Source organism: Homo sapiens, chromosome 19, assembly GCF_000001405.40.
Source record: "Homo sapiens chromosome 19, GRCh38.p14 Primary Assembly".
Lineage (NCBI taxonomy): Eukaryota > Metazoa > Chordata > Mammalia > Primates > Hominidae > Homo > Homo sapiens.
Genome location: NC_000019.10, coordinates 50258431 through 50285839, shown reverse-complemented (window position 1 = coordinate 50285839; position 27409 = coordinate 50258431). Strand labels below are relative to the sequence as shown.

Below are 27409 nucleotides of genomic sequence, written 5' to 3'. Positions count from 1 at the left end.
AAAGCAGGTCAATATAAATTATCCAAACAGAGCAAAGAAAGAAAAAGAAAGAAGATTGTAACAGAAATTAATGGAACTTTAACAACCTGAAAAAAGTACCAAGCAGTCATACATACAAGCATTTGGAGTCCTAGAAGGGTAAAGAAAAGGTAAAGAAAGAAGTAAAACTGCCTTTGTTCACAGAAAACATGATCATCTATGTAGAAAATCCAATGAAATATATAAAAACTATATTAGCACTAGTAAGTGAGTTTAGCCAAGATTGTAGGATACAAGATCAATATACAAAAATCTATTGTTTCTATATACTAGCAATCAAAAATGGAAATGAAAGCAACATCACTTAAAATAGCCATAAAACCATGAAATACTTAGAAATACATCTGGCAGCAGATGTGAAAGATGTACATTGAAAACTAAAAAACATTTCTAAGGTATTTCAATGGACGTATATACCCTCTTCCTCGGTGAGAAAACTCAATATTGTTATGATGTCAGTTCTTCCAAAACCGTTGTATAGATTCAACACAGTTCCAAATTGGAAGGCTTTTTGTTTTGGGGTAGAAATTGACAAACTGATTCTAAAATACATACGGAAATGCAAAGGAACTAGAAGAGGCAAAATAACTTCAAATAAGAAGAAAAGGCTGGTGCAGTGGCTTATGCTTGTAATTCCAGCATATTGGGAGGCTGAGGCAGGCAGATCGCCTGAAGTCAGGAGTTCAAGACCACCTGGCCAACATGGTGAAACCCCATCTCTACTAAAAATACAAAAATTAGCCAGGTGTGGTGGCGCACACCTGTAATCCAAGCCACTCGGGAGGCTGAGGTGGGAGAATTGCTTGAACCCGGGAAGCAGAAGTTGCAGCAAGCCAAGATCACGCCACTGCACTCCAGCCTGGGCAAAAAAAAAAAAAAAAAGAAGAAGAAGAAGAAAAAGAAGGAGGAGAAGAAGAAGAAGAAAAATGACTTTCAATAGATATGCAAAAACAAGTCAGTGGAGAGCAGTGTTGGAATACTTGGATATTTATATTCACAAAAATTAACATGGAGCCATGATAGCATCATATGTAAAAATTAACTCAGAATAAATCACAGACCTAAATGTAAACTTGAAACTGGAAGACTTCCAGAAAAAAAAAACAGGATAGGCCGGGTGCAGTGGCTCATGCCTGTAATCCCAGTGCTTTGGGAGGCCGAGGCAGGTGGATCACAAGGTCAGGAGTTTGAGACTAGCCTGGCCAACATAGTGAAACCCTGTCTTTACTAAAAATAAAAAATAAAAAAAAAATAAAAATAAAAAAATTAGCCGGGTGTGGCGGCATGTGCCTGTAATCCCAGCTACTTGGTAGGCTGAGACAGGAGGAATCGCTTGACCCCAGGAGGCAGAGGTTGCAGTAAGCCAAGATCATGCCACTGCACTCCAGCCCGGGCAACAGTGCAAGACTCCGTCTCAAAAAACAAAACAAACAAACAAACAAAAAGAAAACAAGAAAAAAACCAGGATAAAACCTTTGTGACCTTGAGTTAGGCAAAAATTTCTTATATACAATACTAAAAGCACAATCTATAAAACAACAAATTGATAAATTGGACAAAATTAAAAACTTCTGTTCTTTGAAAGACTCTAACAGAATGGAAAGAAAAGCCACAGACTGGACAAAAATATTTGCAAAGCATATATCTGATAAAGAACTTGCATTTAGAATACATAAATAACTTCTTTCTTTTTTTTTGTTTTTTTTTTGTTTTTTGTTTTGTTTTTTTGAGACAGAGTTTCACTCTTGTTGCCCAGGCTGGAGTGCAATGGCATGATCTCGGCTCACCACAACCTCCGCCTCCCAGATTCAAGCGATTCTCCTGCCTCAGCCTCCCAAGTAGCTGGGATTACAGGCATGCACCACCATGCCTACCTAATTTTGTATTTTTAGTAGAGACGGGGTTTCTCCATGTTGGTCAGGCTGGTCTCAAACTCCCAACCTCAGGTGATCTGCCTGCCTTGGCCTCCCAAAGTGCTGGGATTACCAGGCATGAGCCACCGTGCCCGGCCCATAAAGAATTTTCAAAATTCAATAATAGTAAAACAAACAACATTAATTAACAAATAGGCAAAAGATCTGAACAGAAGCTTCAGCAAATAAGATATATGGATGGCAAATAAGCATATGAAAAGATGCTCAACGTCACTGGTCATTAGGGAAATGTTAATTAAAACCACCTTTGAGAAAGACTAAGGTTTTATCCATAACTAGAAAAAAACTGGAAAAAAACCCAAATGTTCATCAAAAGGTTAATGAATATCAAAATGTGGCTGATCTATACCACAGGAATAATATTCAGCAGCAAAAATACATTATTGATACATGGAATACATTATTGATATGCAAAAATATGGATGGATCTCAGACTAATTATTTTGAGGCTGGGTGCGGTAGCTTACTCCTATAATCCCAGCACTTCGGGAGGCCGAGGTGGGTGGATCACTTGAAGCCAGGAGTTCGAGACCAGCCTTGCCAAAATGGTGAAACCTCGTCTCTATTAAAAACACAAAAATTAGCCAGGCATGGTGGTGCACACCTGTAATCCCAGCTACTTGGGAGGCTGAGGCACGAGAATCGCTTGAACCTGAGAGGTGGAGGTTGCAGTGAGCTGAGATCGTGCCACTGCACTCTAGCCTTGGTGACACAGCGAGACTCTGTCTCAAAAAAAAAAAATTATTTTGAGTAAAATAAGCCCATCCCAAAAGAGATTTATGTGAAAATAATTTATATAAAATTCCAGAAGATGCCAAAAATAATAAAGCTTCAATGACCTGTGGAAGAGTATTACAATCAAATCATATGTATTTGGAGTCCAAGAAGAAGGGGAAGGAGAGAGAGTGGGAGATAAAAATATTTGAAGAAATAATGGCTGAAATGTTCCACATTTGATCAAAAACATCAACCCACAGCTACAGGAAGCACAGTGAATCTAAAGCAGGATAAATACAAAAAACCCACAGCTGGGCATATCACAGTCAAACCACTAAGAACCAAACATAAAGAGAGAAATCGTAAGTCAGCTAGAAAAACATACTGCACCACCTACAGGGAAATGACAATTTAAAAAAATTTTTTTTAATTTTTTATTTTTTTTTTGAGATGGAGTCTTGCTCTATCACCCAGGCCGGAGTGCAGTGGCACGATCTTGGCTCACTGCAACCTCCGCCTTTCCAGTTCAAGTGATTCTCCTGCCTCAGCCTCCCGAGTAGCTAGGATTACAGGCGCACACCGCCATGCCCAGCTAATTTTTTTGTATTTTAGTAGAGACGGGGTTTCACCGTGTTGCCCATGCTGGTTGTGAACTCCTGAGCTCAGGCAATCCGCCCGCCTTGGCCTCCCAAAGTGCTGGGATTACAGGCATGAGCCACAGTGCCCAGCTTCACACTGCATTTTCTAAATGAATAAAATAAAGCACAGAGAGGTTGAGCAATTTGCCCAAGCCACACAGCCATCAAGAGGCCGAATTGGGATCTGAACCTCAGGATTGCCTGATCTGAACTCTCTAAGGTTCTGTGATTTTTATTTCATCCTCAGGCTGCCAGATGCTTGGTATTATTGCCATTTTCCAGATGGGCGAACTGAAGCTGAGATGGAAAAAGCAACTTGCCTGAGGTACCCCGTGAATCAGCAGAAGTGAGATGAGTTATTTGATTTAATTCTCATAAGCAATCTCTGGGGTACTGAAGGTATTCGTATATTTTGTCATCCAAAAACCAGGGCAGCTCTGAAAGTAAAAGTGGGTGCTACGAGGAATTATGCTGTGGCAAGAGGCATGAATCAGGACAGAGGGATGTCCTATTTTACAGAGGCCCAGAGCAAAGAAGGGTCTTGCTTCCTGGTCCACTACAACTGCCTAGTTGAGCCGTGACAGCACGGATTACTGGTTCCTCACAACGACCATGGGAAGCGTAGATGGACTTGCTGATTCCCCGGCTGGGTGAACTGAGGTGCCCCACCTGGTCAAACTTGCGCTGCTTCTTCTCCAGGGTGCTCACAAGCTGCCGCTGCTGCTCCAGGTCCATGGTGGCGTCGTCCAGCTCCTGCTGCAGCCGGCGGCGGCCCCGCTCCAGCCGATCCACGGTCTCTGTCTTTTCTGCCAGGCGCTGGGTCAGGGCCTCGGCCTCCCGGGCTGCCCGGCGCCGTGCCTCCTCCCCTGCCTCCAGTGCCCCTGCCTCCTCCTCCTGGCGCCGCCGCCACTCGGAAAGCTGAGGGGAGGAGAGAGAGGGTGGTTGGTGGTCACGGCCATGAGTGACCAAGGTGTAAGCTGGTGGTGCTCCATTTCCAGGATGAAGAGACTGAGGCCTGAAGAGGGAAAGGGGTCATTCTGCTGGGCTCTTCTGCCTCTGAGTGGTGTGAAGTTGTGAATACTATGAGCCCTAGTTCTTCCAGGGAATTAAAATTACTCCCTCCAAGATGCAGAGGTGAATCAGACCTGGAGTCTTTCCTGGGGAGCCCCTCGGCTGCTGGGGGAGACACAGAGTCACAGCCAGGGTGATAGGGGTTAAGGTAGCAGTATGGGAGCTATGGAGGTCCACAGGAAGTGCCCAGAATCTGTTTAGAACATTCAGGAGAAACTTCCTGAAGGAGGAGCATTTGAGATGGGTCTTGAAGTATGCATAGAAGTCTGCCAGTTGAAGGATATCTGCAGGCACGTACCATCACTCATTCATTCAATAGGCATTTCTCAACGCCTACCATACATCAGGCCCTATATCAGGCTGTGCTACAGACCTGGATCTAACTCTGATGGGATTCTAGTTTGAAGGGGCTCTCAGTCTGGTGGGGAGACTCATGGGCAGAGACAGTCCCAGCCCAAGGTGACTGGAGTTGGGACAGAGGAGAAAGAGAAGACGGGTCAGGAAACTTCCCACAGGGGAGCCTAATGCTAAGTCTGGAAAAATAAAAGGTTTTTTTCAAATAAAATAGGAAAGTAGAGATAGAGATGAATACAGCTAAAGGCAGAGGAAGGACCAGAGATTGCAGGGCCTCAATGCCTGACTGAGAGGCATGGACTTTGTCTAGGAGTACTGGGGAGGCGTGGGAGAGCTGTGAGCAGAGGAGGGACAGGGTCAGCTCCAGGTAAAGAAAGAAGCTTCTGGGGCTGTGCAGGGGATGAGCTGTTAGGGGAGAGGCTGGAGGCCCAGAGGCCAAGAGGAGGATCTAGATGGGAGAGGACGGCACTGGAGCTGGGGCTGAGCTGGAGCTGGGACAAGGGATGAGGCTGAGAGTCAGGGGTCAGGACAGCCAGGGCTGGGCATGGGCTGTGGGGGGTAAGGGGGAGTCAGAGATGAGAAAGGCACCCATGGGTCTGGCCTATGAGAAGGTGGGCAGCATGGCCATCCCTGAGCTGGGGAACCCAGGAGGAGCAGTGAGGGGGGCTGTGCCTCCCTGAAGGTCTTACGTAGGGCTGCTCACCTGGGCCTGGGCAGTCTGCAGTTCACGGCCCGCCCGTTCCCTGGCAGCTGCCTCCTCCTCCAGCTGCTCACGCAGCCCGGCTGCCTCAGCCTCCATGGCTCGCACCCGGGACCCCAAGGCCAATTTCGCCCTGGTCTCCTCCTGCAGCAGCTCCTGTAGATGGAGGAGACGGCAATGTCAGGTGTGGCTGGGAGGACAAGGAGGGGAGGGTGACGGTGGAGCCGAAGGGCAGGCAGGGTCACCTGGGCATCGTGCAGCTGGGCTTCTGTGCTGCTCAGCTCCTTGCTAAGACGGATGGTTTTGGACTCAGCCTCGTTCAGCGCCCCAGACACATTCTCCAGTTCAGCCTGCAGGGAAGGGACGGGAATGAAGCCCTCCAATCGTGGCTTCCACCCAGTGACCCCATCTGCCTCAACTCTCTACCACACTGGCAGGAATGTGAAATGTTACAGCTGCCGTGGAAAACAGTCTGGCAGATCCACAGATGCTTAAACATAGGGTTCCCACATGACCCAACAATCCCGCTCCTAGGTGCATACCCAAAAGAAATGAACGCATAGGTCTATGCAGAAACTCGTACCGGAATGTTCTCAGTGGCATTACTCACCATCGCCAAGAGGCGGGAACAGCCCCAATGTCCATCAATAAACGAATGGATAAACAAATGTGGAATATCCATACAACGGGCATTATTCGGCAATAGAAAGGTATATGGATCTATTGCGTGCTGTTGTTTTTTGGGGTTTTTTTGAGACAGAGTTTCACTCTTGTTGCCCAGGCTAGAGCGCAATGGTGCAATCTCGGCTCACTGCAACCTCCGCCTCCCAGGTGCAAGTGATTCTCCTGCCTTAGCCTCCCAAGTAGCTAGGATTACAGGCATGCGCCACCACACCCGGCTAATTTTGTATTTTTAGTAGAGACGAAGTTTCACCATGTTGGTCAGGCAGCTGGTCTTGAACTCCTGACCTCAGGTGACCCACCCGCCTCCGCTGCCAAAGTGCTGGGATTACAGGCATGAGCCACTGCACCCAGCTGGTGTTTTAAAAATTAAAAAATAAAAAAGGAATTATGCTACGAGCTGCAACACAGATGAATCTTGAAACCGTTATGTTAAGTAAAAGAAGGCAGCCACAAAGGCCACCCATATATAGTAGGATTCCATTTATATAAGATCTCCAGAATGGGAGATCAGTAAAGACAGAAAGGAGATTAGTGGTTCCCTGGGTGGGGTGGGGGAGAAGTGGGGGATGATAGCTAAAGGGTATAGGATTTTCTTTTTGGGATAATGAAAATGGTCCAAAATTAGATTATGGTGATGGCCATACCACTCTGTGAATATACCAAAATCCATTGAATTGCACATCTTAAATGAGTGAATTATTATTATTATTATTGGAGATGGAGTTTCACTCTCGCTGCCCAGGCTGGAACGCAATGGCGCGGTCTCAGCTCATCACAACCTCTGCCTCCCGGGTTCAAGTGATTCTCCTGCCTCAGCCTCTCGAGTAGCTGGGATTACAGGCATGCGCCATCACGCCCGGCTAATTTTGTGTTTTTTTTTTTTTTTTTTTAGTAGAGACAGGGTTTCTCCATGTTGGTGAGGCCGGTCTCGAACTTCTGACTTCAGGTGATCTGCCCGCCTCGGCCTCCCAAAGTACTGGGTATTATTATTATTATTTTGAGACAGGATCTCACTTTGTTGCCCAGGCTAGAGTGCAGTGGCACAATCACAGCTCATTGCAGCCTCGACCTCCCAGGCTCAAGGGATCCTCCTTCCTCAGTCCCCTGAGTAGCTGGGACTACAGGCACATGCCAGCATACCTGGCTAATTAAAATTTTTTTTTTTCTGAAGATGGGGTCTCACTATGTTGCCCAGGCTGGTCTCGAACTCCTGGGCTCAAGCAATCCTCCTGCCTTGGCCTCCCAAGTGCTAGAATTACAGACATGAGCCACTGTGCCCAGACTTGTACATGATTATGTTGGAAGAGCCAAACGAGACAATTGGTTTGATATGGACCAAATAGAAGCCCAGAGAGGGCAGGCATGTCACCAAGGTCACACAGCAGAAACCTCTGCCCTGCCCACCCCACTTACCTGGGCTCGCTGCAGCTTCTCAGCAGCCTCCGCTCGTGCCCTCTCCCCATCACCAGCCCGGCCCTGCACCTCCTGCAGCTGTAACTCCAGGCGGCGCCTCCGCTGCTCACCCTCCTGACGTGCAGTCTGCAGGCTGCTCAGTTCTGCCCGCAGCTCGGACACCTCGGCCTCCAGGGCCAGCCGGGTCTTCTCCCATGCACCTTTGCCCTGGTGTGGGAAGGAGATGAGCAAAGATCTATGAGGCCTTTCCTGGACCAGGCCAGGCACACTCCCATCTCAGGGCCTTTGCACTGGCTGTTCCCTCTGCCTGGAACACACTTCTCCCAGTGAACAAATAGCTCACCCCTCACTCCCAATTTTTTTTTTTTTTTTGAGACAGTGCTTCAGTCTTGTTGCCCAAGCTGGAGTGCAAAGGCACGATCTCTGCTCACTGCAACCTCCGCCTCCCAGGTTCAAGTGATTCTCCTGTCTCAGCCTCCCAAGTAGCTAGGATTACAGGCGCCCACCACCACGCCCGGCTAATTTTTTGTGTTTTTAGTAGAGATGGGATTTTGCCATGTTGGCCAGGCTGGTCTTGAACTCCTGACCTCAGGTGATCCACCCACCTCAGCCTCCCACAGTGCTGGGATTACAGCCATGAGCCACCACGTCTGGCCCATTTTTGTTTGTTTGTTTGTTTTTTGAGACAGAGTCTTGCTCTGTCACCCAGGCTGGAGTGGAATGGTACAATCTTGACTCACTTCAACCTCTGCTTCTTGGGTTCAAGTGATTCTCCTGCCTCAGCCTCTCAAGTAGCTGGGACTATAGGCGTGTGTGCCACCACGCCCAGCTAGTTTTTGTATTTTTAGTAGAGATGGGGTTTCACCATGTTGCCCAGGCTGGTCTCGAACTCCTGGCCTCAAGTGATCTGCCTGCCTCAGCCTCCCAAAGTTACAGGCAAGAGCCACCATGCCCGGCCACTCCCTCAGTTTTTTACCCTGATGTCACCTTCTCGCAGAATACCTCCACAGCCTCTCTACTTAAAAACTCACCCGCCTTAGAATTCTGATCCCTTTTTCCTGTTCATTATGGCCCCATAGCACTTATCACCCCAATATAAACTGAAAGTGTTTATATTGTTTACCCTCTGCCTCTCTCACTAAAAGGAAAGCTCCACAAGGGAAGGCAGTGCTGGTTGTTGGGTTCATGGCTGGTTCCCCAGCAATGCTCCTGGAACATAGTCCACACCCCATTAATGCTTGCTGAATGAAAGATGCACATGAATGCGTGAGGAAAGGGGCCCAGGGAGATGAGCTAGCCTAGAACCAGCCAGCGGTACCTCCTCCAACCCCGCGTCCTGCCCTGCCCTCCCCGTGGCCCCCCTGCCCTGTCCCCCTGCCCCAACCCACCCTCCGGGCCTGCTCCAGCTGCTCCGCCAGCTCCCCCAGGGCCTGGCCGTGGCGCTGCCTCAGCTCCTGCACTGCCGCCTCGTGGATGCGAGTCTCCTCCTCCAGAGTCTTCTTCAGCTCCGTCACCTCCTGTTCCCTCTTGGACCTTTATTGGGGGAAAGGAGAGAGGATGGGAATTTCAGAGCAGAGGAAGGCAGGGGCTTTGGGGGAGCTGGTTGTTTCTCCTTTTCATGTTTCCTTAAAATATGAGGGCCTCATGTTATGCTCCTCAGGAGATCTGGGTGGTGATGCTGTGGAAGGAGTGTGGCTTTAAGGGTGAACTCCTATTCACCTTTCAAAACCCTTTTCCAAAAGGCCCTTCCTCAGGAAAGTCTTCCTGGATCTCCCATAGACTTGGTTTAGGGGTCTTCACTTATCACCCACAGTGCCCCGTGTTACTCCGCTAAAGCACCCCTTGTTCTGGGTTGAGATTGTCTTTGCCTGAATCTGCCTCCCCTGAGACTGGAAGTTCCCAAGGGTAACACCTGGGTCTGACCCATCTCTGTCCCCAGCTTGACCCAGGCCGGACCTAGAGCCGGTGGTTCATGAACAACTGTACAATAAGTAAGCCTCTGTATAGACAGAGACTTTGTACCTAAGTCCTTCCCCCAGCCCTGTATGTGCACAGGCTGTGACAGCGGCCTGCCACCGGGCCTCACCGGAGCTCCTGCTGTGCGTTGGTGGAGTCCAGCGTGTCCTCCAGCTCGCCCCGCAGCGCCTCCAGCTCCTCGCCCAGGTCCCGGCGCTGCTTCTCCGCCTTGGTCCTGGCCACACGCTCAGACTCCAGGTCCTCCTGGGCCTCGGCCAGGGCTGCTTGAGCCTCCCGCAGGGATTTCAGCAGCTGGGCCCGGGCCCCACCCTCGTCTTCTGCCCTGGGGGTGACAAGAACCGTGGAGTTGATACAGGGGCAGGCCAGAGTGAGGCAATGATTTCTGGGGACTGAGAGGCTGGATGTGGGCTTTGGGAGTGGCCAGTCCCAGGTTAGAATCCTCTCTCTGCCACTGGGCACTTGGCTGCAGTACTAATTTAAGTTTTCTGAGACAGGGTCTCGCTCTGCTGCCCATGCTGGAGTGCAGTGGTGCAGTCACGGCTCACTGCAGCCTCAAATTCCTGGGCTCAAGTGATCCTCCTACCACAGCATCCCGTGTAGCTGAGACCACAGGTGCGGTCCACTATGCCTGGCTAATCTTTTTTCCCCAAAGAGACAAGGTCTGCCTATGTTGCCTAGGGCTGGTCTCGAACTCCTGGCCTCAAGTCATCCTCCCACCTCGGCCTTACAAAGTGCTGGGATTGCAGGAGTGAGCCACTTCGCCCAGCCTGACTCATTTCGAACCTCAGTTTTCTTAGCTGTAAAGTGGGAATGACAGCAACAGTAATCGTAGGAGACACTTAGTAAGTTCCTGCCTCATGCCAGTGCTTTACTTGTATCACCTCATTTAATGTTCCTGCCAAATGAGGAAACTGAGGTCTAGCGTGGAGAAAGCACTTGCCGAGGTTACCGGGTCCGTGAGTGGCTGGGTTGGCCCGGAGTCCCTCCTTACAGCTCTCACAGGGATGTGGCTTCCTGTCCCTTCACACAGCGTCATTGCAAAGAGAAGCTGGATCTGGGGGCAGCACCAACTGGGACCTGGGGGTTAATGGTTCAGGAGCCACACAGGCCTGGCTTAGTATCCTCTCCTGGCCCCCTGCTCCAACAAGTGACTTAAGAAGGGCAGGGTCCTGATTTGTGGGAGGACATGACGATGAACACTCCCCTTTACCAGGGTTGCTGGGGAGATGGCGATAAAAATAACTAAAGCACAAAAGGCCACATGTTGTATGAAATATCTAGAATAGGCAAATTCTATTTAGACAGAAAGTGGATCAGAGGCTGCCAGGCTGGGGAGAAGGAGGGATGGGGAGTGGCTGCTTTCTTTTTTTTTTTTTTTTTGAGAGAGAGGGTCTCGTTCTGTCACCTAGACCAGAGTGCAGTGGCACAATCATAGCTCACTGCAGCCTCGACTTCCCAGGTTCAAAGGATCCTCCCACCTCAGTCCTCTAAGTAGCTGAGACTACAGGCACATGCCACCATGCTTGGCTAATTTTTAAAAGTTTTTTGTAGAGACAGGGTCTCATTATATTGCCCAGGCTGGTCTTGAATTCCTGGGCTCAGGCGACCCTCCTGCCTCCTACTCTCAGAGTGCTGGATTATGGCGTGAGTCACTGTGCCTGGCTGTGATTGGTTAATACATACAGGGTTTCCTTTTGGGGGTGATAAAAAAGTTCTGGAGGCCAGCACAGTGGCTCATGCCTGTAATCCCAGCACTTTGGGAGGCCAAGGCAGGTGGATCACCTGAGGTCAGGAGTTTGAGACCAGCCTGGCCAACATAGTGAAACCCCGTCTCTGCTAAAAATACAAAAATTAGCTGGGTGTGGTGGTGGGCACCTGTAGTCCCAGCCACTCGGGAGGCTGAGGCAGGAGAATTGCTTGAACCCAAGAGGCGGAGGATGTAGTGAGGCAAGATCATGCCACTGCACTCCAGCCTGGGCGACAGGGCAAGACTCCAGCTCAATAAAAGAGAAAATGTTCTAGAACTAGATAGAGGTGATGGTTACACAGCATTGTGAATGGGCAAAATCTACTGAATTGTACATTTAAAAAATGGTTACTTTTATGTGAATTTCACCTCAGTAAAAAAGAAAAAAATTAACAAGAGTAATAAAGTAGTAACAGAAACATCCGGCATTTATTGAGGGCTCAGGGTATGCGAAGTGTCTGAGGAGCACTTTCTTCTTTAACCCTCACACTAACCTTAGGAGTACTGTCTACAATTACCCCATTTTATAGATGAAAAAACTGAGGCTAGAGAGGTGATGTGATTTGCATGAGGTCACATGACTAGAAAGGGGAGAAGCCAGGATTCCAACCCAGAAGTCAGACTCAAAGATGTGTGTTCACGGCCGGGTGCAGTGCCTCACGCCTATAATCCTAACCTCAGCGAATGGATCACCTGAGGTTGGGAGTTCCAGACCAGCCTGGGCAACATGGTGAAAGCCCGTCTCTACTAAAAATACGAAAATTAGCTTGTTGGCGGGCACCTGTAATCCCAGCTACTTGGGAGGCTGAAGTACAAGAATTGCTTGAACCTGGGAGGCAGAGGTTGCAGTGAGCCGAAATCACACCATTGCACTCCAGCCTGGGAAACAGGGCAAGACTCCGTTTCAAAACAAAACAAAGACGTGTTCTTAACCACACACACACACACACACACACACACACACCCCCCATGTTCCATCAACTCTAAGATGCACAGTTTTTCACATTTTAACATCTCCGAAATGGAGCTGTACTTGTAATCAAGTGGGTCTTAGATTGCATGAAGCACAGTGCATAAAAAGCATTTGAAACACTAAGCACCACATTTGGCATACAGTAGGAGCTCAATTACTGTGAACGAGTGTAAATATAATTATTATGATTCCTAACATAGGCCACTTGGCAAATCTCAGCTGATTCTGGGCTGTTTGGTGTGGGGAGGCCAAGCAGGGAAGAGGAAGAAATAGCTCTTTTTTTTTTTTTTTTTTTTTTTTTTGAGACATAGTCTTGCTCTGTTGCCCAGGCTAGAGTGCAGTGGTGTGATCTCGGCTCACTGCAACCTCTGCCTCCTGGGTTCAAGCAATTCTCGTGCTTAAGTCTCCTGAGTAGCTGGGATTACAGGCGCCCGCCACCACACCCAGCTAACTTTTGTATTTTTAGTAGAGACAGGGTTTTGCCATGTTAGCCAGGCTGGTTTCAAACTCCTGACCTCAAGTGATCCACCTGCCTTGGCCTCCCAAAGTACTGGGATTACAGGTGTGAGCCATCGTACTTGGCCTAGAAATAGCATTTTCTTGTTCCCATTGTGCACTGTTATGCAAGTTACCAGACACATAGAGTCTTGTTTCACTTTTCCCTTAACCTAGTGGGCCTGGAACTCTTGCTATCTTCATTTGACAGAAGGGGACACTGAGGCTCGGAGGGGATGTGGCCTGTCTGTGGCTGGTGAGTGGCTCCACTGGGGTTTGTACCCAGGAGCTTCTGACTTGGGCACCCCACGCTGGCTGGCCGTGCACCCATGCTGCTTACCCCACCAAGCCCACCCCACCCTGCACCTGGCCAGGGCAGCCTGCAGCTCCTCCTCCTTCCGGCCCAGCTGGGCCCGCAGCTCCTCTGCCCGCTGTTGCTGCTCCACCATCTGCTCCTGCAGCTCTGAGCTCTCCCCATCCAGCCTCCGCTTCAGCTTCTCCAGCTCCTGGCGACCCTTCTCCTCCTTCCGTAGGCGGTCTGGAGGCAGGGGTGGGGGCCGTGCATGAGGACTCCAGGCCTGCACACTCAGCCGCTCTCACAGAGACCACAGGTCCCCAGTCACATATAAGGCTAAGCTCAGCACCTCCCTTAACGCCTTCTCCTCCTCCCACCTTCCCCATCTATCTCAGGGACTCTTCCCACAATGTTGTCCTAGACGCACTGTCCTCTCCTCCTCATCCCCACCAACAGCCCATGCCTCCACCCTCTGACTCTCTCTGCCCTGTGTCTACAGCCCTGCCTCCTCCCTGTGCCCCTTCCCTTCTGTTTCTGATTCTAAGTCAACAGGAAGGGACAGGGAGACAAAAACATGTCTGAAACAGACAGACAGTGGGACAGTCAGATGGGAAGAAAGGAGGACAACCCAAGACACCAAGGAGAGAAAGAGAGTTGGATTTAGAGATGCATTAAGAACTCAAGAGCTGGGAGGACACTCAATCTGCCCTGAGCCTTCCTTCCTATCCCATTTAGCAGACACAGCCACTGAGGCCCTGTAGCACATGGGGCTTGCCTGAGGTCCCCCATTAGAGCACACACAGACCCCTACTGGCTGGGCGGGAGCTCACCCTCCATGTCTGCGATTGTGGCCTCATATTTGAGCCGTAGCTTATTGAGGCTCTTGACCTTCTCCTCCTCCTCAGCTGCCTGGGATGAGAACTCGGCCAGACGATCTTCCAGCAGCTTCCGCTCCTGAGGGGTGGAGTGGGATGGGGGGCAGTCAGGAGGAGTTGGGCCAGGAGCAGCCCTTACCTGATCTGCAGCTTCTGGTGTTGTTCTCATCTATGTTTCTGCTCCTTTTCACCCTTCTCTGACCTTCCTCCCCCTACACCTCCCTCTCCTTCCCATTCCCTTGGGGCTATAGACCCATCCCACCCCCACCGGTGCACACCTGAGAACCGCAGTGTGGTAACCCCCATGGCGTGAAGTTCACCATTCATTAACCCACCAATGCACCCCATCCCCACTTTCCCAGCTGCCCTCAGGCCCCCAACCTTGCTCAGCTTGGAATTCTGGTCTTCCAGGAGCAGCAGGTCCTCTTCAAATTTCTTCATTTTTGCCTCTGTCGTCACCTTCTCCAGCTGCAGCTTCTGCCGCGCACCCTCCTCAGCCTCAAGGTGGGCCTCTAGCTCCTGGGGTGGGAAGGCAGGAGGAGTGAGGATACTGGGCCAATAGATGGAGTGTGATGGGGAAGGATGGGAGCGGGGATGGCTGGCCCACGGATCCCCGCGGCTTGTGGTTCAGAGATGTCCATGCCCTGGGTGAGGCCGGGAAGGATCAAACTCTTATTGGCTTTCCCATTTCATTCATTAGCGCAACAAGCATTTATTGAGTGCCTAGTGTATGCCAGGCACGGTTCTAGGCACTGAGGATGGGTAAAAGTGACTGTCCTTCTGCAGTGAGAGATGACCGCACCACTGCACTGAAGTCTGGGTAACAGAGCGAGATCTTGCCTCTGAAAAAAAAAAGGAACACCTATCCTTGTGGAAATCACATTCTTGTGTGGGGGTTAGGGGTACAGATTATAAACTATAAACATAGTAAATAGGTCAGGCGCAGTGGCTCACGCCTGTAATCCCAGGACTTTGGGAGGCCAAGGCAGGCGGATCACGAGGTCAGCAGATCGAGACCATCCTGGCTAACACGGTGAAACCCCATCTCTACTAAAAATACAAAAAATTAGCCGGGCGTGGTGGCGGGTGCCTGTAGTCCCAGCTACTCTGGAGGCTGAGGCAGGAGAATGGCGTGAACCCAGGAGGCAGAGCTTGCAGTGAGCTGAAATCGCGCCACTGCACTCCAGCCTGGGCAACAGAGTGAGACTCTGTCTCAAAAAAAAAATAAATAAATAATAAATAATTTTAAAAATAAAATAAACATAGTAAATACACAAATTATAGAAATGGGTACTGCCAACATGACAGTCATTGGGCACACTGGAAATCAAGACTCAATTTTATTTTTTGAATTTATTTTATTTTATTCTGTTTAAATTTTTTTCTTTTCTTTTTTTTTTTTTTTTGAGACGGAGTTTTGCTCTTGTTGCCCAGGCTGGAGTGCAATGGTGCAGTCTTGGCTCACTGCAATCTCCACCTCCCGGGGTTCAAGTGACTTTCCTGCCTCAGCCTCTCGAGTAGCTGGGATTACAGGCACCCGCTACCACACCTGGCTAATTTTTTGTATTTTTAGTAGAGATGGGGTTTCACCATGTTGGCCAGACTGGCCTTGAACTCCTAACTTCAGGTGATCCACCAACCTCGGCCTCCCAAAGTATTGGGATTACAGGAGTGAGCCATTGCGCCCAGCCTATTTTATTCTGTTTGAGAAAGGTCTCACTCTGTCATCCAGGCTGGAGTGCAGTGGTGCCATCACAGCTCACTGCAGCCTTGACCTCCTGGGCTCAGGTGATCCTCCCACCTCAGGCCTCGTGGGTAGTGTGACAACACCACAGGTGTGTGACACCATGCCTGGCTAATTTTTGTGTTTTTGTTTTTGTAGAGAAAGGGTTTCACTTCATTGCCTAGGCTGGTCTTGAACCTCTGGGCTTAAGAGATCCTCCCAAAGTGCCGGGATTACACATTGAGCCACTGCACCTAGCCAAGACTCAATTTTATGTGCTGCCTTGACATTTGCTAAAAGTAGCAGGGGCCTCAAATGGCCTAAACAGAAGTCCTCCTACTCCCTCTGCTCCCATAGATAAGGTCCCCCAGCCTTATCTGGGGACCCTCCTTATCCTGGGGACCAGGCACAGTGCCTGCTTATCCCTGAGAAGCACATTCCAGCTCCCTGCCAGCCCATGGAATTACTGAAACAAACCAAACACATTTTCCCACGGCACCCAGGGGTCACCTCCACCTGTTGTTGTGACAAAGCCTGTTTCCCACAGCCCCTGCTTGTTCACTCTGCTCTTGAGGGCAACATCCATGTGGCCGTCTGTGGTGTGATGTCGGCCCCCCTCACCTGTCTGGTGCCCAGTGCTGTGTGCTCAGCCATCCCCATAAACCTAGGGTAGGGTCCCTCCCTCACCAAAGGGATCAAGAGAAGTTGATTAAAACACTACTGGGCCGGGCATGGTGGCTCACGCCTGTAATCCCAGCACCTTGGAAGGCTGAGGTGGGCGGATCACCTGAGGTCAGGAGTTCGAGACCAGCCTGGCCAACATACTGAAACCCTGTCTCTACTAAAAATAAAAAAACATTAGCTGGGCATGGTGGCACACACCTGTAATCCCAGATACTGCTGTAGAGGCTGAGGCAGGAGAATTGCTTGAGCCCGGGAGACGGAGGTTGCAGTGAGCTGAGATGGTGCCACTGCACTCCAGCCTGGGCGACAGAGCAAGACTCTGACTCAAAAAAACAAAAAACAAAAAAACATTACTGAGCTTTTGAAATGTGGCTGATGTGGACTGATGAACTAAATTTTCTGTCTTATTTAATTTTATTTATTTTAAATTTAAAACCAGACACCCAATCACTGAAAAGCTTTTAAGCATGTTTGGAACAACTTGGCCATGTGAATCTAGTTTTTATAAACTGCAGAAATTATGAAATAGAAATACAGATCAAGTATTTCCAATGAAAATTTAGCATCTGAATTGAGATGTGCTGTAGTGTAAAATACACACTAGATTTTGAAGGGGAACCATGAGGGCAGCCTGCCCGTGAATGCAGCCAGGAGACGGAGAGAGGGGGAGTACTGAGAACATTGCCTGAATGCCTGGATCCAGCCATGCCTGAAGCTAAGGACATCACTTGGGCACCTGGATCCAGCCATGCCTGAAGCTGAGGATATCACTTGGATGCCTGGATCCAGCCATGCCTGAAGCTGAGGACATCACTTAGGCGCCTGGATCCAGCCATGCCTGAAGCTGAGGATATCACTTGGATTCCTGCATCCAGCCATGCCTGAAGCTGAGGAAATCACTCAGACACCTGGATCCAGCCAGGCCTGAAGCTGAACATATCACTTGGATGCCTGGATCCATCCATAGGTGAAGCTCACACATTTTAAGGTCTCCCGCGATCTGAATCAAAAATGTATTCTTTTTGCAAATTCACTTAGAACTGAGTTTTCTACAAATTCATGGCCCAAAGACACACGGTTTGTAGAAGCAAAGGTGGATGGTGTAGACAGAGGGGTCTGGAGGGTGGCCTGGTGGGCATGCAAGGGGCCAGACCTGTATGTGCTGCTGCAGCCTCTTCTTCTCGGTTTGCATTTGACGGCTGCACTCCTCCTCCTCGCCCACGCGAGCCTCCAGCTCTGACACCACCAGCTCCAGCTCCTGCTTGCGGGCTGCCAGCCTCCCCCGCGTCTCCTCGGCCTCTGCACACAGTTCTGCCTCTGCTCGCAATTGCTCTGCCAGGCGGGCGCGCTCCTCTTCCAGCTGGGGAGTGTGTGGGAGGTTAGTGGTCAGCAGGCAGTGCTCCCAGGGCAACCTGCACTGGGTGCCTACTGCCTTGTAACTTGCTTTGGCCTTTAAGTTCTCCAGGGCAGGACTGAGGGGCAGGAGGACACGGTGTCCCCACCTCCTCCCCCTCAGGTCCCCATCTCAGGATGAGCCCACATCCCCCTAATCACTAAGTCAGAATCCTGGGGATGCCCTCCCTCACCTCTCACAGCCATCAGTCTGCACCCCTGCTCTCTCTGGCCCCTCCTCTCTGTCCCTACAGCCCCAACAGGCTCAGGTCTTTCCTTCTCTCACCTGTCTCTCTCCAGCCTCCTCCCCAGCCTCCCAGACTCTAGCCTTTCCCCTTCCAGTCCATCCTTCAAATAACCCCCGAGGGGTCTTTCTACTACCTCACATTTCATTTAATACATTTCATACCTAAAATGTAACCACAGGAAATAATGCAGAAAAGGCAAACAGAAAAATGCTCAAGAAGGGGTTTGTTCTAGCATTATTATTATTATTATTATTATTTTTGAGACAGAGTCTCACTCTGCCGACCAGGCTGGAGTGCGGTGGCGCCATCTCGGCTCACTGCAACCTCCACCTCCCAGAGTAGCTGGGATTACAGGCGTGCGCCATCACACCCGGCTAATTTTTGCATTTTTAGTAGAGACGGGGTTTCACCATGTTGGCCAGAGTGGTCTTGAACTCCTGACCTCAGGTGATCTGCCCGCGTCAGCCTCCCAAATGTTCTAGCATTATTTTAAGATAGCTGAAATACTGGAAACAGTTATAAGTTCGCCACCTGCATACCATAGCCCGGCCACAGCTGAGGCCCCTGCCCCCAGATCCTACAGCCCAGCTCCATTCTGGCTCTGCAGGACTCTCCCACCCCACCCCTACCCGGCCCATACCCTGGCTACACCCCCAGGGCCCTGCTCCCTGTACGTCACGACTCAACCAAACTAAACAGCCCCAATCCCCGCCCGGCCTCAGTACACCTTAGCTTTGCTCCCATCCTCCCGACAGCCCTGCCTGGGCACAGGCTGGCTCAGCCGGAAGCCCCGCCCCTCACACCTGGCTCCACCCATGCGACACAGCCCCACCCCGAAGACACGCCCCCACGCCCTGCCCCCGCCCCCTCACCTGTGCCACTCGGCCCTGGAGCTCCCCAACTTCGCGGGCGCTCTGCTGCTGTAGCTCCTGCACTTTCTGCAGCTCCTGGGCCCGTGCCTGCAGCACCTCATCCTGCCGCGTCACCTGCAGCAGTGGCTTCACCTAGGTGGAGGTGAAAGGGGTGGAATGGCTGACTTCAGGCGCCAAGACCTCACACTCTTAGTGGGGTTTGAGTTTCTGGGTTCAAATCCCTTCTCCTCCACCTATTAGCTGTGTGTCCCCGCCTTGGCAACAGTCCCTGGTCACAGGCCTAGAACACTGACAGGTACAGGCAAGCACCACTAAATACACTATTGATCTATCTAATCTCTCTGGCTAAAGGATCCTTCCACATCCAAGAGACACTGTGTACTGTGGCTGCTGCTATTCTGTGGAACAGTCCTTCCTTCCTTCCTTTTTTCCTCCCTTCCTTCCTTCCTTTCGACAGAGTCTTGCTCTCTCGCCCAGGCTGGAGTGCAGTGGTGGGATCTCGGCTCACTGCAACCTCTGCCTCCCAGGTTCAAGCGATTCTCCTGCCTCAGCCTCCCGAGTAGCTGGGATTACAGGCGTATGCCACCACGTCCGGCTAATTTTTGTGCTTTCAGTAGAGAGGGTTTCGCTATGTTGGCCAGGCTGGTCTCCAACTCCCGGCCTCAAGTAATCCACCCACCTCAGCCTCCCAAAGTGTTGGGATATAGGCATGAGCCACCATGCCTGGCCAAAGGCCAGTGTTTCTTAAGCCTGTTAGTCCAAGGTCCTTAGTGAGAGATGAGCTTTACATGGCATGATTCAGGCTGCAGTGACAGAGGTACACACAGAACTGAAACAAAAATTTCACAAAACCTCGTCGCCCTTGCTAAGTGAGATCTGCTCTGATAATTTCTGTTCAATCATATTCTACTCCGTTCTACACAAGTCTACTTGATTCTTTTCCTCTCCACCCAATTCTGTATCCCTTCTATTCTCTCCTTTTCTGCCCCGACTCCTTGCATCTTTCGCAGGTATCATTCACATTTCTCAAATGATGCCAATCAAATCCTACTTGACCCCAACCCCCAACACCTAAGGTAGGCAAACTTTTTCTTCAAGGGCCAGGCAGGAAATATTTGAGATTTTACAGGCCACCCTGGCTGTTTTTTATTTATTATTAATTTTTATTTTTATTTATTTATTTATTTTGAGACAGAGTCTCACTCTGTCACCCAGGCTGGAGTGCAGTGGTGCGATCTTGGCTCACTGCAACCTTCACCTTCCAAGTTCAAGCGATTCACCTGCCTCAGCCTCCTGAGTAGCTGGGATTACAGGTGCCTGACACCACATCCAGCTAATTTTTGTATTTTTAGTAGTGACAGGGTTCCATCATATTGGCCAGGCTGGGCTCAAACCCCTGACCTGAAGTGATCCACCTGCCTCAGCCTCCCAAACTGCTGGGATTACAGGCATACGCCTCCGTGCCTGGCCAGTTTTTAATTTTGATTTATTTTTTCAAGACAGGGTCTCACTCTTGTCACCCAAGCTGTAGTGCAGTGATGCGATCATGGCTTACTGTAGCCTCATACTCCTGGGCTTAAGCAATCCTTCGTCCCAAGTAGCTGGGACTACAGGTGTGCACCACTACACCCAGTTTTTGTTTTTGTTTTTTTTTTTTTTGTAGAGATGAGGGTCTCACTTTGTTGCCCAGGCTGGTCTTGAACTCTTGGGCTCAAGTGATGCTCCTGCCTTGGCCTCCCGAAGTGCTGGGATTACAGGTGTGAGCCCCTAACCTCAGCTTCTGGCTGTTTACCTACTCCACTCAGCTGCTGTAGCTCAGATGCAGCTGCAGACACCATGCTAACGAAAGGGCTTTTGCAAAAACAGCCATCTGGCCCACAGGCCGCAGTGCAGCAACTCTTGTCCCAGACTGTGAGCTCCATGGTGGCAGGACCTTGTCTCTTTTTAATCACCATTTACCCCAGCCTCTATAAAAGTTCTGGGCACATAGTAGGTGCTCAGTTAACACTGACCAAGGGAATGCAGGCTGATCTCTCAGACATCGTATTCAGAATTACATTACTGCCCCCAAAACCTCCATCCTTCTCATTCCTTTCCAATTTCCCCCTGGGGGAACACCTAGTCCCTGAGCTCCATGGTGCATGGCGACCTGGCTTGGCACCCTCTGCTTTGGGTAGGCATGTGATGCCAGCCTGGCTCATCTGATCCCTACTAACTGGCTCTGGGATGGTCACATGACTCCAGCTGGGCCAATGAGCATGAAACCTGGGAATCTGGCTGGAGCTCTATGATAAGAGAGACCAGGCTGGCCAAGGTTGTTAGGGGCAAGACTCCATCTGCTGGTGGCCCCTGTGTGGAAAGCCTCTGTTGGTGATCATCACGGAGGAAAGCCAAGCGGGAGACGCAGAACACTGCATACTGACGTCACTGTTTGGACCCTTGTGCAGTAAAGGGTTAACTCAGCAGACCTGGGTTGTCCAAACCCCACACATTCCTAAGAAAAGTCTGGCCCTTGATGGGCTCCTGGGAGGTTACCTCTAAGTCCTTAGAATGTCCCATCTGATAAGAGTGTCTTGGTTTACCTGGGGCCTTGGGCCACCCTGGATAGTCTATGCTAACGATGGGATCTGTGGTGGGGGCCCTGGGCCACATGGCATCAGTTTGACTCTGGAGGGGCTGGAGACTGAGTAACTGAGGTCACCATGTGTGTGACCTTGTCCATGCCTGTGTGACCAGCCCCAGGAAAAACGCTGGACATCAAGGCTCAGGTGAGCTTCCCTGGTTGGCAATACTCCGTGCATATTATCATACTTCATTGCTGGGAACAGCTAAGTGTTGTCCACAGAACTTCACTGGGAGAGAGCAGCTGTAGGCTCATGCTTGGTCTCTCCGAGACACTTATGTACTTTTTTTTTTTTTTTAACCTTTGCTCTTTTTTTTTTTTTTTTTTTTTGAGACAGAGTTTTGCTGTATTGCCCAGGCTACATGTAGTGACACTATCTTGGCTCACTGCAACCTCCACCTCCTAGGTTTGAGTGATTCTCCTGCCTCAGCCTCCCAAGTAGCTGGGACTACAGGCACCTGCCACCATGCCCAGCTAATTTTTGTATCTTTAGTAGAGACAGGATTTCCCCATATTGGCCAGGCTGGTCTCGAACTCCTGATCTCAAGTGATCCGCCCGCCTCGGCCTCTCACACTGCTGGGATTACAGGTGTGAGCCACAGCACCCAGCACCTTTGCTGTTTTCAATCTGTATCTTTGTATTGTGATAAACTGTAGCTGTGAGTACAGCAGCTTTTCTAAGTTCTGTGAGTCCTTCCAGCAAATCCTTGAACAGAAGTCTTGGGGACCCCTGGATCCAGGTGCAGCCCACATTGTCTTGAATCTTTGATCCATGTTGGTTCGAGTCAGATTTTTCTTGTTGCTTGCTAACTAAAGAATCCCAGCTAGCAAAGCCTGGGCCGACTGGCCCCATTTTAGTGATGCAGAAAACTGAGGCCCACATGGAGGAAGTCACTTGTCAAGCAGACCAAGCCCCAAGGCCCTATCCTCTCCCTACTGGGGCCACCTCCCCAGGCTGCCCTCACCTTGGTAAACAGCCGCCACCACTGCCAGTGTCTCAGCTTGAGGTAGGCCGCGCAGTTCCGCTGCATCACCCTCAGGGCGCTCTGCTGCTGCTGGCGCTTCTGGAAGGCCCTGGGTGGGGAAATGGGTGAGGGGCAGAGTGGGAGCCTCCAGGCGCCATCCCCTTAGCAAGAGAGCCAAGCTCCTTTCTTATTTATTTTCTTTGTTTGTTTGTTTGTTTTTCTGAGACAGAGTCTTGCTCTGTTGCCTAGGCTGGAGTGCAATGGCATGATCTGGGCTCACTGCAACCTCCACCTCCCAGGTTCAAGCAATTCTCCTGCCTCACCTCCCAAGTAGCTAGGATTACAGGTGCGTGCCACAACACTCGGCTAATTTTTGTATTTTTAGTAGAGATGGGGTTTTGCCATGTTGGCCGGGCTGCTCTCCAACTCCCCACCTCAAGTGATCTACTCACCTCGGCCTCCCAAAGTGCTGAGATTACAGGGGTGGGCCACCATGCCTGACCAAGCCAAGCTCCTTTCACTTAGTCAGCCATCATAAAATGCCTACTGTGTGCAGGCACTCTTATTACTTTGAGATCTCACTGTGTTCTGGCCGTTCGTCCCCCTGCTCCCGACTCTCTCTGCCCAGTCCCAAAGCCCCAGCCGCAGTTCAGGCCCCACCCTCCCTTGCCTGGATCCTCTGCCTGGCCTCCTTCTCCAGCCTCTCCTATCAGCCCATCCCAACACGCCTCCAGAGAGTCTTTCTACACCCAGAGCTGACCCACCCCTCCCCTGCTCACAGCCCTCCATGGCTCCCTAGCTCCTCTGGACAAGGCCCCACTCAGCCTGGTGTTTGGGCCATCCTTTCCTGCCACTCTATTCTTTCAGCTTTTTTTTTTTTTTTGATACAGAGTCTCACTCTGCCACCCAGGCTGGAGTGCAGTGACATGATCTTGGCTCACTGCAGTCTCTGCTTCCCGAGTTCAAGCCATTCTCCTGCCTTGGCCTCCTGAGTAGCTGGGATTACGGCTAATTTTTGTATTTTTAGTAGAGATGGGGTTTCACCATGTTGGCCAGGCTTGTCTCGAACTCCTGACCTCAAGTGATCCGCCCGCCTTGGCCTCCCAATGTGCTGGGATTACAGGTGTGAGCCACCGTGCCCGGCCTCTCTGAGCCACTTCTAAGGAGGAAGGAGACTCTCCCGCAAACTCCCTGTATTCCTGAAGCGTGCCAGGATCTTGCATCGTTGGGTCTTTGCACAAGCTTGCTCCTGCCCTGATCACCTTTCCCATTTTCCTTCATCCACCTGCTTGTCCGGTGTGGCCTGGGGGAGTCATGGCCTGCAGCAGGGCCTCCTTGCTGCACCTCTATGGCCCCCATCAAAGCAGGTCTCACCCGGGACTGGGACTCTATGCCCATGGAAGTCTCACCTCCAGACTGGAGCCCCTCGAGGGACTGGCCAGGGAGAGCGGACAGCTTGACCTGGGTTGCCCCGGGCTTTCTCTGTTTTAGCACTGGAAGTCCTGCACCCTGGGAAACCCAGACCCAGGCCCACTAGGACAGCTGGTCACCCTGCGGCTAAGTCCAGCCTCTGTGTTGCCAGTCTTACTCTGAACAGGGCCTGCCCTGCCCACAGGGCCCCTCAGGGACTGCAGAACCAAGAAGCCTGGACACCCGGCACCTCCATCCACCTGCTCCTCAGCCCTGCACCCATCCTGGAGGCCCTGACACCTAGAGCCATCTGGTCAACCCCTCCCTGACCCAGTCTCGGCCAACAGGACCCCGGGAGACAGCGTGGCTGCCCACCTGCGAGCCAGGTATCCCCGGGCAGCTGCCTGGAAGGAGACGATGATGTCGGTGACCTTCAGGTCTCGCTCCTCTTCCAGCTGGGCCAGGACCCCAGCCCGGAAGAAGATCTTGCTCTGTCCCACGCGGTAGAGGTTGGGGTCCAGTTCCAGCGCCTGGATCTGTGAGGGGTGGGAGAGGGGTGATGACGGAGAGGGGGTGATGGGGGAGTGGGGGTGGTGAGGAGGGGGAGTAATGGGGGAGGGGGTGGCGAGGAGGGGGAGTGATAGGGAAGGGGTGGTGATTGGGGAGAGGGGGTAATGGGGGAGGGGGTGATGGGGGAGGGAGGTGATGGGGGAGAAGTGATGGGGAGGGGGTGATGAGGAGAGTGATAGGGGAGGGGGTGATGTGAAGAGTGATAGGGGAGGGGAGTTATAGGAAGGGGGTGATGGGGCAGGGGATGATGGGGGGGTGGTGAGGAGGGGCAGTGATTGGGAGGGGGTGGTGATTGGGGAGAGGGGGTGATGGGGGAGGGGGTGATGTGGAGGAGGGTGATAGGGGAGAAGAGTTATAGGGAGGGGGCGATGGGGGAGTGGTGATGGGGAGGGGGTGATGGGGTGACGGGGAGGGGGGTGATAGGGGATGATGAGGAAGCGGGGGTGGGGGCGGTGATAGGGAGAGGTAATGAGGAAGGTCAATGAAGGGGAGATCCCAGCCCCACTCCCCGACCACCTGGGCCCCTGCACACAAACGCATGCACACACACACATGCACACACACGCATGCACACATATGCATGCACACACACACGCACACACGTGCATGCACACACACTTGCACACACACGCATGCACACATATGCATGCACACACACATGCACGCACACTCATGCACGCACACACACACACGCACACACGCATTCCAGGCTCTGCCCCACTCACCATCTTTTCACAGGCCTGCTTCCCATCCATGAAGCCCTTGGGGATGGCATTGGGTGTCAGGATCTCGTATCTGCAATGAGCAGGGAGGGGTGGGGAGGAGAGAGTTACAGCAAACGCTCACCTAGTGCCTGCTGCGGGCCAGGCACTGGGCTCAGAGTGACACACAGCAGGAACAACAGTGACAATAACAAGGACAGTCACAAAACTCACATCTGAGCATTCACGCCACCACCAAGGACAGCAACATCGACAATGATCGACTGTTTCAGTTTTTTGTTTTGTTTGTTTTTTGAGACAGAGTCTCGCTCTGTCGCCCAGGCTGGAGTGCAGTGGTCAGATCTTGCCTCACTGCGACCTCCGCCTCCCAGGTTCAAGCGATTCTCTTGCCTCAGCCTACCAGGTAGCTGGGATTCAGGCATGTGCCACCATGCCCAGCTAATTTTTGTATTTTTAGTAGAGATGGGGTTTCTCCATGATGGCCAGGCTGTCTTGAACTCCTGACCTGAAGTGATCCACCCGCCTCGGCCTCCCAAAGTGCTGGGGTTACAGGCATGAGCCACAGTGCCCAGCCAGTATTGGCCAGTATTTTGGATGTATTGGCTTTAGTAAAATATCTTGTTAAAATTAATTTCATTTTTTTCACTTGTAAAAGTGTAGCTATTAGAAAATGTTCAATTGTGTACAAGGCTTCCCATTCTACTTCTAAGGGACGGTGCTGCTCTACACAGCTTGTGTGAAGCATCATTTTTGTTACATTTGCTGTATTACTTGCTCATTAGGCCTTGGTATTTTCTATTCTGTCCTATTCTACTTCTTTATTTACTTATTTATTTTTTTGAGACAGAGTTTTGCTCTTGTTGCCCAGGCTGGAGTGCAATGGCGCAATCTCGGCTCACTGCAACCTCCCCCTTCCCGGTTCAAGTGATTCTCCTGCCTCAGCCTCCCGAGTAGCTGGGATTACAGGCATGTGCTACCACACCCGGCTAATTTTGTATTTTTAGTAGAGATGGGGTTTCTCCACGTTGGTCAGGCTGGTCTCGAACTTCCGACCTCAGGTGATCTGTCTGCCTCGGCCTCCCAAAGTGCTGGGATTACAGGCGTGAGCCACCGCGCCCCGCCTTCTACTTCATTTTTAAAGACATGCAGATTTGTAACACCATGCAGTGATTTCACGTTCATAGTTTGGGGCCTACTGCCCTAAACAGCAGCAGCAATGTACCCCAGATCCCCATAGACTCTGTGTGCTTTCTCTCAGGAGTGCATCAAGTGGGCTATTGTTCTCCCATACACAGACGAGTAAACTGAGGCTCAGCAAAGTGAGTAATCTGCCTCAACTTCCCCAGCGCAGAAGGAACAAGAGTGGGTGGAGACCTGAATGCAGGTGTGTCGGCTTCCAGACCCGGGTCCCACCCAGCCCCTCCGCCGGGCCTGGGCCCTCGCTCTAGCTCACCGCTGCCGGAACTCCTGGAAGAGGATGCGGTTGGGGAAGCCCTGGCGACAGATGCGGATGCCCTCCAGGACCCCGTTGCAGCGAAGCTGGTCCAGCACCAGCCGTGGCTCCAGCTTCCCGGCCTGGGGAGAGCGGACGGACACGCGGGGGTCAGCGGCGGCCACACGGGGGCGCCAAACGGTCAAGCTTGGCAATTTCCTGTTTCCACATGTAATTTACTGAGCACCTACTAGGTGCCTAGGAACGGTTCTAGGCCCTGGGAAGACAGCAATGCTCAAACCAGGGGGAAATCCTGCCCTGGGGAACTGAGAGTTCAGTAGGAGAAACTAGAAATACCCTAGGTGAAGCAGTCACTAATAAAGAAGAAATACTAAGTGCTAAGGAGAAAAGATCCGCAGGGAGGGATGTGGGTGGGGCTGAATTTGCACGCAAGAGAGTCGCCAAAAGGCCTCCTGGGAAGCTGATGTCTGTCCAAAGCTGGTAAATCATGTTTTTTTGGTTTTTGTTTGTTTGTTTGTTCGTTTTTTTTTTTTTTTTTTTTTTTGAGACAGAGTCTTGCTCTGTTGCCCAGGCTGGAGTGCAATGGCATGATCTCAGCTCACTGCAACCTCCGCCTCCCAGGTTCAAGAGCTTCTCCTGCCTCAGCCTCCTGAGTAGCTGGGATTATAGGTGCACACCACTATGCCCAGCTAATTTTTGTATTTTGAGTAGAGACGGCGTTTCGCCATTGCCCAGGCTGGTCTTGAACTCCTGGGCTCAAGCAGTCCTCCCACCTCAGCCTCCCAAAGTGCTGGGATTACAGGCATGAGCCACCGTGCCAGGCCGCCTTTTCTCT

At 51.2% G+C, this 27409-nt stretch overlaps 1 protein-coding gene across 3 annotated transcripts in view; it reads right to left on the bottom strand.

The window, feature by feature from the left end:
- MYH14 (myosin heavy chain 14) overlaps positions 1-27409 on the bottom strand; it is a 106919-nt gene that overhangs the window by 24701 nt on the left and 54809 nt on the right. For all 3 annotated transcript variants that reach the window (NM_001145809.2, NM_001077186.2, NM_024729.4), the window contains 15 exons: positions 26575-26696; positions 25125-25194; positions 24205-24365; positions 22420-22528; positions 18832-18963; positions 17473-17679; positions 14294-14431; positions 13868-13991; positions 13109-13280; positions 9637-9849; positions 8939-9083; positions 7551-7757; positions 5699-5803; positions 5457-5609; positions 3998-4246 (listed from right to left, as the gene is read on the bottom strand). In NM_001145809.2, the coding sequence (NP_001139281.1) occupies positions 3998-4246; positions 5457-5609; positions 5699-5803; positions 7551-7757; positions 8939-9083; positions 9637-9849; positions 13109-13280; positions 13868-13991; positions 14294-14431; positions 17473-17679; positions 18832-18963; positions 22420-22528; positions 24205-24365; positions 25125-25194; positions 26575-26696 (2307 nt within the window). The remainder of the gene's footprint in view (positions 1-3997; positions 4247-5456; positions 5610-5698; positions 5804-7550; positions 7758-8938; positions 9084-9636; positions 9850-13108; positions 13281-13867; positions 13992-14293; positions 14432-17472; positions 17680-18831; positions 18964-22419; positions 22529-24204; positions 24366-25124; positions 25195-26574; positions 26697-27409) is intronic.